Raw genomic sequence first — 16,798 nt, 5'->3', positions numbered from 1 at the left:
AGGAGAATTGCTTAAGGCCAAGAGTTCAAGGCCAGCCTGGGCAACATGACGAAACTCTTTCTCTCCTAAAAATGCAAAAATTAGCCAGGCACAGTGGTATGTGTCTATAGTCCCGTTTACTCGGCAGGCTCAGGTGGGAGAATTGATTGAGCCTGGGAGGTCGAGGCTGTAGTAAGCTGTGATTGCACCATTGTACTCCAGCCTGGGCAACAGTGGCTCTGTCCCTAAATAAATAAAGTAAAAAACAAAGTCAGTTTACTCAGTATGTTTCATTTAATGGTTAATTGCATACAGATCAGTTTATTCCCATCCATTTCAGATGTCTTGGAAAACATTTATTTAAAATTCAAACCAAAACAAAAAACTAGGCCACATAGAAAATCCTAAAGTCTCCAAAGTGTATTTACATGCATCCTGGCCTGCAGTGAAACGAAGTCAGAAGTTTCAGTGTTATTTTACTTTTCATCCTTGAAGTCAGAGATTTTTCTGGCTTGCATGCAGGGCCTTCTGAGAGATGATTACCTCCCTCACGCAGGACTCGGAGGCCAACTGCTTTCTCTTCTGAGTCTACTCCTTTTAGAGAGAACTCGTGCTTTATGCAGTCATCTGACTTTTACAACCACTTGCTTAAGTAGATTGGAAGCAGACAGTGTGGACGATTTACCCACAAGTACCCAGTTGCAGCACACACTGTCCTTCCTGATCCTTGTTCTCTGCCTACCCTTATACCACTGGCTGCTTCGTCTGAGTCACAAAGTGAATTTATTCTCAGTGTATTTTGTAGATGAGGGGAAGAGTCACGGCAGGAGTGGGAAAGCTTGTAAATCACTTGAACCTCATTTTGTTTGAAATATCAAGCCCTCCCAGGAAATCCCTACTGAAAGTAGTTTAAAAAAGTTTTTTGATAATCTAGGTTTTTGTTTATTACTTGTACAGGTCAAGATTAACCGGGCAAGTTTGCAAATAGTATTTAAGAAACTGCTACTGTAGGGAAGGTGTTTGAGGGTGTTGGTGCTGGGGATTCTCTCAGCAGATAGGAACGAGCTGTCTTCAAGATCAGGCCATGTGAGTCTAGTAGGATGTGTTTTGGGATTTTTGGTTGCTGTGGACAAATCACATGGCCTACATTTTTTTTGTTGTTCATTACGATGACTACTGAGGTATTGAACCCAATTTACAAAGCCTGCTTAGAAATTTGGCCTACTTCCAAGATCTACTATGGTGATCTTAGACAGCTTAGCTGAAGCACCTAGGTTGTTTAAATAAATCTAATTAGTTTTCTGTCTGGTGTTAAAATGTTTTCTCTTTTAAAACATTTTAAAAGTGCTACTACTGGCCGGGCAGGGTGGCTCACGCCTGTAATCCCAGCACTTTGGGAGGCCGAAGCAGGTGGATCACCTGAGGTTAGGAGTTCAAGACCAGTCTGGCTAACATGGTGAAACCCCATCTCAACTAAAAATACAAAAAAATTAGCTGGGCATGGCAGCAGGCACATGTAATCCCAGCTACGTTGGGAGTCTGAGGCAGGAGAATCTCTTGAACCCGGGAGGCAGAGGTTGCAGTGAGCTCAGATCGCGCCACTGCACTCCAGCCTGGGTGACAAGAGCAAAACTCTGTCTCAAAAAAAAGAAAAGGTGCTATTACTATATTATTCAGTGAGAGAAAAAAGAAAAACTTTAACATAGTAACTACAATATTATCATTTTAGTGTATTTCACTTTTTCTTTTTCTTTTTCTTTTTTTTTTACTTTTAATATCTGGTTGTTTTAGGAGATGGTGAATTAACCTGGTTGCAGGTAAGTCGGGGTCTTCAAGTCCACTCACTTGACATTGCCCCCTTCAAGCTGCTCCTTCCCACTCTAGTTGGAAAGGAGAGTAATCAGAGCTAATGAGCCAATTCCTAATTATGAAGTTAATAAGGTGTTCCTGGTCCTTGTTGCACCTTTCCTAGGTAATCAAGAATCAAGTACGGTTTCTGAAACCTTAGTGAGCATCAGAATCACATAGAGGACTTGTTAGGACATGTGCTGGGCCCCATCTCTGGTTTCTCATTCAGCAGGTCTGGGGTAGGACAGAGAATCAGATTTCCAATCAGTTATCAGATGAGGCTGAATCTCCTGGCCCAGGACAACACCGTGAGAATTACTTGCGTTGACCATGATTTTAAGTATTCCTCTGACCATCACTCTTCTTATTCTGACTAATCAAGAGTTAACTCTGGTTGAAATAATAGTTTAGATATTTTATACTATGATTCTCATCCCAAGCATTTCCCCAAGTTGCTGTACAGTCTTTATTTTAACTTAAAAAGATTGCACAAATAATGCATGTTCCTTAAATAAAAATAAAGCTAAAAGTAAAATTAAGCTAAAAGAAAAATTAGTTATAAATTCCACCTGGGTTGATATTTTAGTATATATCCTTCCAATCTCTTGAGAGACAGACACAGAAAAATGTGTGTCTGCCTCTCTATGTGTGTAGTGTGTAGTGTGTGTAGGTATTATATATATATGTATGCATGCATACACACACAGGTGTATCTTAACAAAAAGCAAGACCTATTTTTTTTTCTTTTTCTTTTTGAGACAGGGTCTTGCTCTGCCACCCATGCTGGAGTGCAGTGGTGCAGTCACGGCTCAGTACTGCCTCAACCTCCCGGCTCAATTTCTCTTCCCACATTGGCCCCTTGAGTAGCTGGGACTACAGACACATGCCGCCACTAATGGCATGTGCCCAGCTAATTTTTATATTTTTTGGTTTTATTTTGTTTAATTTTTTTCTTCTGTAGTTTTTGGGGAACAGGCAGTGTTTGGTTACATGGCTAAGTTCTTTAGTGGTGATTTCTGAGATTTTGGTGTAATTTTTGAATTTTTGTAAAGACAGAGGGTTTCACCATGTTGCTCACACTGGTCTTGAATTCCTGGGCTCAAGCCATCCGCCCACCTTGGCCTCCCAAAGCATTGAGATTACAGGCGTGAGCCACTGTACCCAGCCAATGAGATCTTATACAAGTATTTTTAGCCTACTTTTCAAAAAGCCTATGTAGTAAATATCTTATGTTGAATATATATCTATCTAGTTTTCATTGCATTTGTTCAGTGTGTATGTATATTGTAATTTATTTAATTAGTTCTCCATTGTTGGACTCTTACGATTTTTGTTCTAGTTCTTCATTAATAATATTGTGCTGAGCATCTTAGTACATTTTTCTTTATCTGTCCAGTTATTTTCTTTGGATAATGTCTACATATGTAGTTGCTGTGTGAAAGGTTATGTTCTTTAAAAAATCTTTGCTAGTCTGAGAGATAAAAAAATGTACTCTGATTTCAGTTTGTATTTGGTTATCAGTAAGGTTTACTAGCCATTATTTATCTTTGTGAATTACCTATTTGTATCCATTGCCCATTTTTCCATTGGGTATCCGTCTTTTTATTTTTATTTGTAAGGTCTTTTTATCATAAAGAATGTTAACTCAGGCTGGGTGAAGCGGCTCACGCCTGTAATCCTAATGCTTTAGGAGGCCGAGGCAGTTGGATTCTTTGAGCCCAGGATTTCGAGACCAGCCTGGGCAACATGGTGAAACCGTCTCTGCAAAAAATACAAAAATTAACCTGGTATGCTAGCATGCACCTGCGGTCCCAGCTACTCGGGAGGCTGAGGTGTAAGGACCACTTGAGCCCAGGGAGTTCGAGGCTTCAGTGAGGCATGATTGTGCCACTGCATTCCAGCCTGGGTGACGTAGTGAGACCCTGTCTCAAAAAGAAAAAAAAAATAATGTTAATTCTTTGTCATATGTTTCAAATATTTTCCCCAATTTATTCGACATATCTTTAGTAGGTTTATTTCCTCACTCACTGCCCACTGCGAAAGTTTAGTCAGATGTTGCCCAGACTGCTGAGTCACCTTTTTTTTGAGACGGAGTCTCCCTCTGTCACCCAGGCTGGAGTGCAGTGGCTCAATCTCTGCTCACTGCAACCTCCGTCTCCCGGGTTCAAGCGATTCTCCTGCCTCAGCCCGAGTAGCTGGGATTACAGGTGCACGCCACCAGGCCCGGCTAATTTTTTTTGTATTTTTAGTAGACATGGGGTTTCAGCATGTTGGTCAGGCTGGTCTCGAACTCCTGACTTCGTGATCTGCCCGCCTCAGCCTCCCAAAGTGCTGGGATTACAGGCGTGAGCCACTGCACCCGGCCGAGTCCCCATTTTTAATGACTGTGTAATATTCCTTTAAGTTGGGTATACTGTCATTTACTTTATTAGCCTCAAATTTTAGGGATCCCTTGAGAAAGTCTAAGCATGTCATTCTATGCTTTTTCAGTTGTTCTCTCTTTCTTTAACCAGATGCTAATCCTGAGGTGACGATGACAATGCTTCGCTGGATCTATACAGATGAGCTGGAGTTCAGAGAGGATGATGTGTTCCTGACTGAACTGATGAAACTAGCAAATCGGTTTCAGCTACAGCTCCTCAGGGAGAGGCAAGTCACAGCAGATATATTCAAGCACCTCAGATGGTGGTGGCTGAGCTTTAATTATGCCGAGCTCTGGGAAAACAGCTTCTTCTGCTAATGTAAATAACTTGGCAAGGTGTTCCTTTAAAGGCGATGCTGGGGACAGATGTTACCTCCCTTGCTTTGTGTTATCTTGTAGCTAAATTTTGCTAAAGCTTTTGCTATTCTCTTTTCTTTCACTGGTCTGTTACCTGAAATTACATAATCGTATAAACTGAAAAATTAAATATGAAATAATATAATCCAATGTCCAAACTTTCAGCTTTCCTTCCCTTTCTGTTTCCCTTGACATTTTACTCTATTTTCTGATATATCAAGTTGAATGAAATCCTTAGTCATAGTCTCTTTGTTGGAAACAATGAGTGCCTAAATGAATATGTGAAAATATTGTCCAAATAAGTGTCATAGCCAGTGTTCCAGAGATCTCACTTCATTTAAGTTACTGCATTTTAGGTTGTCAAGGAGATAGCATGCTGTGTTTTTATATTACATTTTCTCTGTTGCTCTCCCAAGTTGGCATTTTAGAACAACAGAAAACAAAACGTTCACTAAATAATGTCAGACGAGATGTCCGGGAGCGTCTTTCTATTGGAGCTGTGGCTCTTGGTAATCAGCTTGCTGATGGAGTGGCTTTTTACAGCATTTAGTGATCTTTGTATTCCCTTGGGTGCATAAAGTAATGGCTTTTCTCCTGGGTGAGTGAAGGGATGGTTTCAGTCATCAGGAGGCACTCCACCTATTGCTGTGTTTTCCCTAGAGAGACTTTGCTGCCTAGAGCTGCTTGCTGTTTTCGTCATGGGCTGGTGTTTTCCCAGGAGGGCTCACTGTGCCCCACATGAAATCAGTGGACGGCTTACTCCTGTCTGTTATTGATGTGGGTTTGAGTGCATTTTAATATCTAAATCCTATAAATAAAAAACAAAAGCAGGTCCACAGTCTATAGGTGCATACAGCATTAGGCTATTAGCAAAGCTGATTTGATTATTGAGGACATTCAGTTAACTGTTTCTTTCATTTGTTTGTTTGTTTGTTTTGGTGAGGAGTTTTGGTGATAGTGAAATCAGACTGATTTTAATTAGATTGAGTATGATTTATGTCTTTATATGTTTTCCAGACTTCCTGAGCTTTCTCCTGTTGACCTTGTCAGACTTGCTTATGTAAATTAAATTGCTTTTGTAAAAATGTCTTGGGGTTGGAGTAGTTGAGATAATTGTAATCTGTGTAATGGATTCTTTAATTAAACTGTTTGTTGTTTGTTGACCGAGTAGGCTTCATAACTGTCAACATTACCAGATGCTTAATTTTGTATTGTTAGATATGAGTATCGAGTTATTATCTGTCATGGCTTTCTTAAGAGCTGGAGTGGAAGACACCGGGAGTGGAGTCAAGGGTTGGCTTTTAAAGGGTCACAGAGTGCCCCCTGCTGTCCTTGGAAGGAATTACATGCTTGAGATAATGAAAGGGTGCTAGCGACGGGTGCGGTTCAGTGTGAAGCAGCCGTTGCTCTTTTTGTAATGTGGGGATCTCGCCGGTTTTGGAATGCTAGCACTGATTTGATGAAAAGGAAGTTTTTATAGTAAGCATCAGGAAAATCTTTTCTTTTTTTTTCTACCACGGAGGGCACACTGAAGAAAATACTCTTAATTTTTTTTTTTTTTTTTTAGAAGACAGCCTCACTGTGTCACCCTGGCTGGAGTGCAATGGCACAGTCTTGGCTCACTGCAACCTCCGCCTCCCGATTCAAGCGATTCTCCTGCCTCAGCCTCCTGAGTAGCTGGGATTACAGACGACTGCCACCACGCCCAGCTAATTTTTGTATTTTTAGTAGAGACGGGGTTTTGCCATGTTGGCCAGGTTAGTCTCAAACTCCTAGCCTCAGGTGATCCGCCCGCCTCAGCCTCCCAAAGTGCTGGGATTACAGGCGTGACCTACCGTGCCTGGCTAATCTTTTTAAAGAGATAATTAATGTATACTAAAAAAAGACAGTTAATCTTTTTCTCCTTACAAAAGTATAATACATGTTCGGTGTATGATATTTGGAGGATACAGAATGATATAAAGAAAAAAGTCATTTGTAACTAAATCATTGTTTACCTTCTGTCATTTTTCTTTTCAATAATTTTTTTTTCCCACATCCACTCAAGAGTGATATGAAAACTATACAGCAGTTTGTGGGACGTTTAAATATATGCTTGATGTTATACTTTAAAAGTCACCAACATGGTGAAACCCAGTCTCTACTAAAAATACAAAAAAATTAGCCAGGCGTGGTGGCGGGCACCTGTAATCCCAGCTACTCAGGAGGCTGAGGCAGGAGAATCGCTTGAACCTGGGAGGTGGAGGTTGTGGTGAGCCTGGATTGAGCCTTGTTGCTCCAGCCTGGGCAATATGAGTGAAAGTCCATCTCAAAAAAAAAAAAAAAAAAAGTTAGGTTTATCGTTTTTGTATCTCTGTGTCCTTTCTGTACTCTAAAGTTAAAAATAATAATTAAAAAATTCCCTTCGGGTGAAAGTCTGTCTGTCTTGCTATTTTCAAAGAGAATATAGGAACCGAGAATCTTAATTTCTAAATAAGATTACGTGTTCCTTGGTTGCGTAAATCATGTCAGTTACTATTTATAATCTATCCAAATGGCAAATGGCACTCTGGAGATCCTAGAATTGGTGACAGTGAAATGTCTGCCAGCTTTAATAAAAGATCTGCTTTCGTGAAACATATTTGAGTCCCTTGGTGCAATGTCATTTGACAGTGAAAAGGAGGAGAGTGGAATTTTCAGGTTCTCAGCAAATGCTGTAAAGGTGCTTTGTAAAGTGCTCTGCAAATGTGAGTTATTACTTCCTGAGATCATACTGTGTATTAGGCTGCCTGGTGTTAGGATGTTAGGAAGGCAGATTGAATATTAGTTGTAAAAATGGTAAAAGCTTCTGAAAGCTATCTGAAAAGAGGTTTTTTTCTGCTGGAATGCTCTGATTTCATGGCTGAGGTTAGAGTGACTTTGTCAGACATTGCTGTGGTGTGCTACAGGTTTGGAGAAACCAATGGTACAGAAAACTGAGGCTTAGAAATATAATGCTGTTGACTGGGTGTGATGGCTCACACCTGTAATCCCAGCACTTTGGGAGGCCGAGGTGGGTGGATCCCGAAGTCAGGAGATCGAGACCATCCTGGCTAACATGGTGAAACCTCATCTCTACTAAAAATACAAAAAATTAGCTGGGCGTGGTGGCAGGCGCTTTTAGTCCCAGCTACACGGGAGGCAGAGGCAGGAGACAGGAGAATCGCATGAACCTGGGAGGCGGAGGTTGCAGTGAGCCGAGATCGTACCACTGCACTCCAGCCTGGGCGACAAAGTAAGACTTCATCTTGGAAAAAAAAAAAAAAAAGAAATAAATATAATGCTGTTGTATGTAACTTACATTCTTGTTTATTATTGTAACTTAACTTACTAATGTAACTTACTTAGATATTGTAACAACATGATTTTTAAAGTGCCCTGGGAGAGATGCTTCCTTACACCAAGTCAGTAATGTTAATTAAAAACAAAGCACCCAGTCTGCCATGGTGAAACCCCGTCCCTACTAATAATACAAAAATTAGCCGGTCGTGGTGGCGGGCGCCTATAATCCCAGCTACTCTGGAGGCTGAGGCAGGAGAATCACTTGAACCCAGGAGGCGGAGGTTGCAGTGAGCCGAGATCATGCCACTGCACTCCAGCCTGGGCGACAGAGCACACTCTGTCTCAAAAAAAACCCAAAGCTTTGACAGATCTTAGTGTAAAGCAGGTGCCTGCATTTACTGCTAAACAGAGAAATGACTCCAAGATTTTATTCTTGCTCCTAGCCTCTCCTTCGTGATGTTTTGAAAGTGTGTTGTGAGGTGGGGTGCGGTGGCTCACGCCTGTAATCCCAGCACTTTGGGAGGCTGAGGCGGGCGGGTCATGAGGTCAGAAGATCGAGACCATCCTGGCTAACATGGGGAAACCCCGTCTCTACTAAAAAAAAAAATACAAAAATTAGCTGGGTGTGGCGGCACATGCCTGTAATCCCAGCTATTCTGGAGGCTGAGGCAGGAGAATCGCTTGAACCTGGGAGGCGGAGGTTGCAGTGAGCCAAGATCATGTCACTGCACTCCAGCCTGGCGACAAAGGTAGACTCCGTCTCAAAAAAAAAAAAAAAAAAAGTGTGTTCTGCATTCTGCCCAGGTCTTTCTCATGACCTTCCTTCTTTCTTCTGCCATCACCCATTCCCATGGTCTTTTTCTACGTCTGTTACCTAAAGCCCATCTGTTAAGATTGGGAATTATCTGCTAGCTAGTTATGGTTAACAGTACTGAAATCCACTAATGTGGATTATTAAAATTAAGTGATTTCCTTTTGTGATTTTTCCTTAGTAAAGGAATTTCAGGTTTTAGAGACGAGAACGGCTAGTAGAGGGACCTCAAACTTCCGAGCATATTTACTACATACCTCAAGCTGTGCTGAGTGTAACTAGTTCTCCTCCATCTTGACAAACACACAAGTATTCCTCAAATATCTGAAGTAGAGTAACATCTTTATTTTATAGAGGAGGAGAGAGGGGCACAGAGAGCTCAAGTAATTTGGCCCCTAAAATGTAATGGGTCTCCACTCAGGTCTTTTTTACCTCATTGTTTATCTTGCTCTGTCCACCACATTCTGCCTTTGTGGTTAGAAAAGAGTTTTGGTGGAGGCTGCTGGCAGGGAAAACAATGGTGGATGTCAGGAAATCTCGTGAAACCATACTAGTCGTCTGTGACTGCCCTTGGAGGTGAACCTGATTTGGAGGGAGCAGTGGAGGCGAGGGAGGTGAAGGGCTGTTCCCTGGCCACCTTTTCCCCATGGGCCTGGTCTCATGGGAGACTCCCTAAGGCTTCCAGGAATTCTGGCATAGAGGAAGTGTGGTCTTTCCAATGCCATATCTTCCAGACTACAATGTGGTCCTGCTTTTGCTACCAGAGACCTATTTGCCTGCCTTCAGCTCTCTCTTCTCTGATGTAGTTGATGTTTTTTGTTTGTTTGTTTGTTTGTTTTTGTTTTGTTTTTTTTTTGAGACAGAGTCTCTGTCTGTCATCTAGGCAGGCGTACAGTGGTGCGATCACGGTTCACCGCAGCCTTGAACTCCTGGGCTCTTACCGCAGCCTTGAACTCCTGGGCTCTTACTTCAGCCTCCTGAGTAGCTGGGACTACAGGCACATGCTACCATGCCTGCCTAATTTCTCAATTGTTTTGGTAGAGACAGGGTCTTGCTGTGTTGCCCAGGCTGGTCTTGAACTCGTGGCCACAAGTACTCCTCCTGCCTTGGCCTCCCAGAGTGCTGGGATTACAGGTGTGAGCCTTTGCACCTGGCCGTGTTTCCTTATTAATGATTCTGAAAGAGTCTTGTTTTTATTATTATGCGGCTTTATGAGGACATCCATTGTAGCCAGTTTTTCTCTATTTTGGTGTACTGTGGTTTTGTTGTTACAGTAGAAATCTGATTTTTTTGGTGTGGGGGGTGTACTATGATTTGGCTATTTTTTCTAATTTTTTTTTTTTTTTGAGACGAGTCTTGCTCTGTCACCCAGGCTTGAGTGCAGTGGCACCGTCTCAGCTCACTGCAACCTCTGCCTCCCGGGTTCACGTGATTCTTGTGCCTCAGCCTCCCCAGTATCTGGGACTACAGGCAGCCCAGCTAATTTGTTTTTGTATTTGTAGTAAAGACGGGGTTTCGCTATGTTGCCCAGGCTGGTCACGACCTCCTGAGCTCAGGCAATCTGCCCGCCTTGGCTTCTGAAAGAGCTAGGATTATAGGTGTGAGCCACCACACCTGGCTGATTTGGCTGTTTTTTTCAAAACATTATAGATATTTTAGGTGAGTTTTTTCTTTTTTCTTTTTTTCTTTTTATTTTTTTTGTTGTTGTTGTTGATGGAGTCTCACTCCGCTGCCCAGGCTGGAGTGCAGTGGCGTAATCTCGGCTCACTGCAATCTCCGCCTCCTGGGTTCAAGCAATTCTCCTGTCTCAGCCTCCTGAGTAGCTGGGACTACAGGCGCCTGCCACCATGCCCGGCTAATTTTTGTATTTTTAGTAGAGACAGGGTTTCACCTTGTTGGTAAGGCTGGTCTCGAGCTCCTGACCTCAGTAGATCCTAGGTGGGGCTTTTAAAATACAGCTTTATTGAGTTATAATTCACATATCATACACATTCATCTTATAGGAGAGCTTTTTTTTTTTTTTTTTTTTTTTTGCGACAGAGTTTTGCCTTTGTCGCCCAGGCCGGAGTGCAATGGCACGATCTCAGCTCACTGCAACCTCCGCCTCCTGGGTTCAAGCGATTCTCCTGCCTCAGCCTCCCGAGTAGCTTGGATTACAGGCATGCGCCACCACAGCCGGCTAATTTTGTATTTTTAGTAGAGATGGGGTTCCTCCATGTTGGTCAGGCTGGTCTCGAACTCCCGACCTCAGGTGATCCACCCACCTCGGCCTCCCAAAGCGCTGGGATTACAGGCGTGAGCCACTGCACCCAGCCGGGAGAGCTTTTAAGGAGGTGTTAATTATTGAGCATAGAGCCTCGTATTTGAAACTATTTCTAAGACACACTGTTTGCATCATGCAGTTGTGGGAACTAAAGTGGTGTTCCACACAGTTAAATTTTCTTTGAAGGACAGAGGTTGATCCATTTTGTGCTTGATTCGACAATTACCTGTCTGTGTGATCAGCGGGTGTCGTATGTGTGCTGTTAAGGCAGTTGGGGTATTATGCTTAATCAGTTTATTTGCATGTTATTTTGATTCTGACCAGAATGGAGCAATGAAATATTATAATGAAATTCTAGTACTTTTTAAATATGGGAGACCAACTGTAATTTATTCATAACCCTTTGCTTAACCTTATCCCATAGTGTTATTAATAGGACATAGCCAGCCAGTACAAAGATGATCGCTTTGGTTTGTTCGTTTGTGAATTATTTGTCCAGTAATACTCCTCATGATGAATACTCTCTTACAGATGTGAGAAGGGTGTTATGTCTCTAGTGAATGTCAGGAACTGTATTCGCTTCTACCAGACGGCAGAGGAGCTGAATGCCAGCACACTGATGAACTACTGTGCAGAAATTATTGCAAGTCATTGGGTGAGTGAGGTTGAGGGTGTCAACAAAGCACTCTAGCTGGCAGTCAGGAGACCGCCGCTGGGGACGTAGTTCCATGGAAAGTGACCTCTCTGGCACCTGGTTTTCTCTTGTTACACAATTGAAGAATAAATAGTTTGATTAGATGATCTATGAGACTCTTTTCAACTCAAATTCTGGTAGTTCTGTGATTTCGGAGCCAAAGGACAAAAGATAGCTCAGGTCTGGCCAGGCGCGGTGGCTCACGCCTGCAATTCCAGCACTTTGGGAGGCCCAGGCGGGCAGACCACTTGAGGTCAGGAGTTCGAGACCAGCCTGGCCAACATGGTGAAACCCCATCTCTACTAAAAATACAAAAATTAGCTGGGCTCAGTGGTGCGTGCCTGTAGTCCCAGCTACTCAGGAGACTGTGGCAGGAGAATCACGTAAACCCGGGAGGCGGAGGTTGCGGTGAACTGAGATCGCGCCACTGCACTCCAGCCTGGGTGACAGAGCGAGACTCCGTCTCCCGCCCCCCCAAAAAAGATAGCTGAGGTCCAGAAACAGGCTTGGAAGCATCACCTGCCTTCACCCTCCATCTGTGGAAGCTGCTGCTGAGCTGCAGGAGTAGGGTGTGGCTCCACGGCCAGCAGGCCCTGCAGCTTCAGCAGCACAGTTTCAGAGCTTGCCCTTGCTCTCCTAATCAGGCGGAGAGCATCTTTCAGTTTAGATTTCCCTTTCTTAGGTTGTTTCATCATAAAGAACAGTGTTTACATTTTTTTTTTTTTGAGACTGAGTTTCGCTCTTGTTGCCCAGGCTGGAGTGCAATGGCACGGTCTCAGCTCCCTGCAACCTCCGCCTCCCAGGTTCAAGCGATTCTCCTGCCTTGGCCTCCTGAGTAGCTGGGATTACCGGCATGCAGCACCACGCCTGGCTAATTTTGTATTTTTAGTAGAGACGGGGGTTTCTCCACGTTGGTCAGGCTGGTCTCAAACTCCCAACCTCAGGTGATCGATCCGCCCACCTCGGCCTCCCAAAGTGCTGGGAGTACAGGCGTGAGCCACTGCGCCCGGCCAGTGTTTACATTTTGTTGTTGTTGTTTGCAGTTTTAGAATATTAGGGCTGGTGCTACCTTTTGCAAATTAGTTTCTGCGAATTGTTTGGTATTCAACAACACTGTGGGAAAAGCCTTAGAGTTTCAGAAAAGGCGGCTAAAGAACTGGATTTTAAGGCATTGAAACAGGATTGGTAACCTTTCTTTTAAAATAGGCAGAAATATAGAGATCTGCAATAATAGGGACCAGCTGCGACTCAGTGGAGTGACTTGTTTGTGGAAGTTGGAATTGATTTTGTAACTGCCATCTTTCAGGGGGTGGGAGGAGGACTCCCTGCTCTCATGTGAGGCTCCCTTGGGGCGCATTCCTGTTAGAGGTATGCATGGCTGGTGTTTTGCCACCTCACTGGGAGGCACAGTAATGCTGGAGGAGAGTGAGGCTCGGAACGTCAGCCTTCTGGTTCCCCAGCCATTTAAGGACTGTCTGAACTTGAGCAAGTTATCTAATCTCTTTATGCCATAATATTTTCTTCTGTAAAATGGGGATGTTCAAGTACTTACTTCATTGGGTTTTGGGGAGAAATAAATGAGTTGGGAAAGGTTAAGCCCTTAAAGAAGGGCCTGACTGATGCATTTGAGAGGCTTGCTAAATGGTGGTTGGATTCATTGCCTTGTGTCTGTTCTGCTTTTCACTGTGTTGTGAATTCTCAGGACGACCTGAGGAAGGAGGATTTCAGCAGCATGAGCGCTCAGTTGTTATACAAAATGATCAAATCCAAGACAGAGTACCCGCTACATAAAGCCATCAAAGTGGAGAGAGAAGACGTGGTCTTCCTGTATCTGATTGAAATGGATTCCCAGGTACTGTAGCTGCCTTTTCCATTCTTCATTTCCCGAAACTCTAATGCACTTGTCTTTCTCCGTGGTACTTCTCACTTCCTTCCGAGCCATGACTGGCACAGTCTTTAACGTACGGATTTCTACTAAATAGTTTGTTCAAGGCAATCTGAGCTTTTTCTAACATGTTTCTCAAAATTCTTCCAGCCTTAGCCCATTGCCCAATTTAAAAACCTCTTAAATGCTTTTAGGTAGTTTTTTTTTTTTTTTAAACGCTTCTTAACTTTTAGGTGCCAAAATCTGTGTTAGTTTACTTTTGCTGCTATAATAAATTACCATAAACTTAATGGCTTAAAACAACACAAATGTATTGCCTTACAGTTTTGTAGGTTGGAAGTCTAGGACAGGAATCACTGGCCCAAAATCAGGATGTCGGCAGGCTGTGCTTCTTTCCAGAGACTCAAGAGGAGAATCCATTTCCTGCTTATTTGGATCTTTGGCAGAATTCAGATTCTTGCACTTACAGGATCGAGGTCCCCATTTTCTTGCTGGCTGTCAGCCGAGGGCCATTCCCACCTTCTAGAGCCCTCCACACATTCCTTAGCTCATAGCCCCCGGCTTTTGTCTTAAAAGCCAGCAGTGGTGGGTCAGGTGCTTCTCATGTCACATCTCTCTGACTTACTCTTCTGGTTCCCTTTTTCACTTTGAAGGACTTGTGTGGTTAGATAGATCGGGCCCTCTGTGGTTAGATAGATCGGGCCCTCTGTGGTTAGATAGATCGGGCCCTCTGTGGTTAGACGGGTCGGGCCCTCTGTGGTTAGATGGGTCGGGCCCTCTGTGGTTAGATAGGTCGGGCCTCCTGGATAATCTGGGATACTGTCCCCATCACAAGGTCCTTAATCACATCCTCAAAGTGCCTTTTGCCATGTAACGTGGTATGTTTATAGGTTCTGGGGATTAGGACATGTCCGTCTTTGGGGGGGGTGATAATTCTGCCCACCATATGACCTTGAAAGAAATGTAATGGCTCTTGACAGATGGGAGCGAAGTATGTTTTATCCCGGGTGTCCAGTGTATGGGGAGACATTAAACTGCTGGGAAGAATGAAATAGGAACGCCACTGCCTTTCATGAAAACATTAGCTGTTCACCGTAAAACTCTCTGAGCCTCTGCCTGGCACTCGTGCCCCACAGCACTCTGTCCACATTTTCCTGGTGGCCTTTAATCGTCTCCCACATTGTTTATGTTGGCTATGTGGTCCCCATTAATTCTGTACTCCCTGAAAACATGTACCCTGAGGAAGCCTGATAGAAGTTTGTGAATAAAGTTGAATTTGGGGAGTAAGCAGTGTTGGAGCACTTAAATTTGACATTTGTATAAGAGATGATATTTAAGGGTCAAGGTGGGAGAAATTAAAATAGGTCGTATTCTCTACTCACTGGGCGCTAATTTACAAACTTGTTTGTGTAGCTCCCTGGGAAGCTGAATGAAGCGGATCATAACGGAGATCTGGCATTAGATCTAGCCCTCTCACGACGACTGGAGAGTATTGCCACCACGCTGGTTAGTCACAAAGCTGATGTGGACATGGTGGACAAGAGTGGCTGGAGCTTGTTACACAAAGGAATCCAAAGAGGTAGGAAGAAGTGTGTATGTTTCCCTGCAGGCAATTTTATTTTTATCCGAGTAATTTTTGAAGACTTTCTGACCTTGTTCCCAAAATTCTCAAAGGCTTCTGTAGTCTGTACTCACAGGCTACATGATCTAGAATTTGATCATTGGGTCAGAGGAAGCACTCAAGAGCTGTTGCCTATGCCGTGTTAGTTTGGCCATTCACCGTGCCAACAGGGCCCCAGAAAGAAAGGCTACAAAGATGGTACTTGTGTGAAGAAGTACCTTTTACTTGTAAGCACTTGATATGTTTGCTTGTTCAATGGATGGCTTTCTCCAGGAATTGTGCTAGGAAGGTTTTGCTTTTGTATTCTACCACAGATACAAGGATAGTAGCAAAACCATAAACCTTGAAACGTGTTCTTAGCTTCAGGGTTTTCACTTTAACAGGCTAGGCCTCTATTATGATAAATTGATAGAGTTTCATTTTGTTCTAGCAGAGTTATTTGAAATTGTAGCTATATTTTGAATGCATTGTTAATAGTTGGAAGAATACAGAAATGATAGACTTGAGAACAAAACATTTAAATCTTTTTTTTTTTTTGAGACGGAGTCTTGTTCTGTCGCCCAGGCTGGAGTGCAGTGGTGCGATCTTGGCTCACGGCAAGCTCCGCCTCCTGGGTTCATGCCATTCTCCTGCCTCAGCCTCCCCAGTAGCTGGGACTACAGGTGCCCACCACCACGCCCAGCTAATTTTTTGTATTTTTAGTAGAGACGGGGTGTCACCGTGTTAGCCAGGATGGTCTCGATCTCCTGACCTGGTGATCCACCCACCTTGGCCTCCCAAAGTGCTGGGATTAGAGGCGTGAGCCACCGCGTCCTCCCAGAACATTTTAATCTTAATGAATTAACTTGTCAAAGGAAAAAAAAAATACTAGGTTTTTGTTTGTTTTTTTCCATAGTCTTACTAATTCATGAGTCCCAAATGGATCTGGGCTGATTTTGCTTTGCAATGGTCATTTTAGACAGAGTGAAATCTGTATAGAGGTAGAGTTCCAGTGAGAAATGAAAGCTTTCCAAAGTGTCAAAGCGTTAGTTTTGTGGAGGGATGGTTGACTTGATTGAAGTGCATTGCCATGGCCACTTTTTTTTACTTACACGTAGACATCAAAGAGAGAATCTACTTGTTTCGTTCCATCTTAATCATCTATATTTTCCCCTTTTGATGATGCATTGTTATACTATTATTGTCTGTGCTACATTTTTGCCATTCACAAATTGCTCCTAGTTGGTGGAATGTAGTTACATCAAGATGTGGTCCTGTGCCAGCTTTGTCCTTTTTGGGCCAAGGTTTTAATACAAGTATCCTTATAAGCCATGTGCTGGAGTGCTGAGCTTGCTGGCTGGTAGAGAGGAAAATTTTGCTCATCACTGGGTAGGAAATCCTTCGAGTATGTCAGTGTCAAGAGCAGATGCATCTTCCTCAAGCACCGTTATGTGCTGTGCAAAGCCAGCGGGTGCTTAGCACTGAGTGTGATTCAGTGGGGAAATCTCCACCACGTAGGGAATGATTCTTTCCCACACTGTTTCGTGTCTGAGATGTTTATTTTGGAAACAGATACCCTGTTACTAAAAAAAAAAAATCTGAGAATTTTGTTTCTTTCCTCCCAGGGAGTTAATTCTTA

General features: G+C 43.2%; 1 protein-coding gene across 9 annotated transcripts in view, besides 1 other annotated feature; it reads left to right on the top strand.

Annotated features, from left to right (window-relative positions):
* Nucleotides 1-16,798, top strand: part of ANKFY1 (ankyrin repeat and FYVE domain containing 1) — a 100,159-nt gene that overhangs the window by 42,521 nt on the left and 40,840 nt on the right. For all 9 annotated transcript variants that reach the window (NR_047571.3, NM_001330063.2, NM_016376.5 and 6 more), the window contains 4 exons: nt 4,341-4,476; nt 11,512-11,635; nt 13,377-13,526; nt 14,973-15,138. Coding sequence is in view for 8 of the 9 variants with exons in the window: in NM_001330063.2 (NP_001316992.1) it covers nt 4,341-4,476; nt 11,512-11,635; nt 13,377-13,526; nt 14,973-15,138 (576 nt within the window). In the remaining variant the exon portion in view is untranslated. The remainder of the gene's footprint in view (nt 1-4,340; nt 4,477-11,511; nt 11,636-13,376; nt 13,527-14,972; nt 15,139-16,798) is intronic.
* Nucleotides 14,209-14,409: a silencer, noted in NCBI's record as "peak2695 fragment used in MPRA reporter construct". NCBI's record gives its function as "represses an SCP1 promoter by STARR-seq MPRAs in K562 erythroleukemia cells {active_cell/tissue: K562}" and the evidence as "EXISTENCE:reporter gene assay evidence [ECO:0000049][PMID:32103011]".

Source organism: Homo sapiens, chromosome 17 (assembly GCF_000001405.40).
Source record: "Homo sapiens chromosome 17, GRCh38.p14 Primary Assembly".
Taxonomy (NCBI): Eukaryota; Metazoa; Chordata; class Mammalia; order Primates; family Hominidae; genus Homo; species Homo sapiens.
The sequence above is the reverse complement of the archived record's forward strand: the minus strand, read 5'-3'. Positions and strand labels throughout refer to the sequence as shown.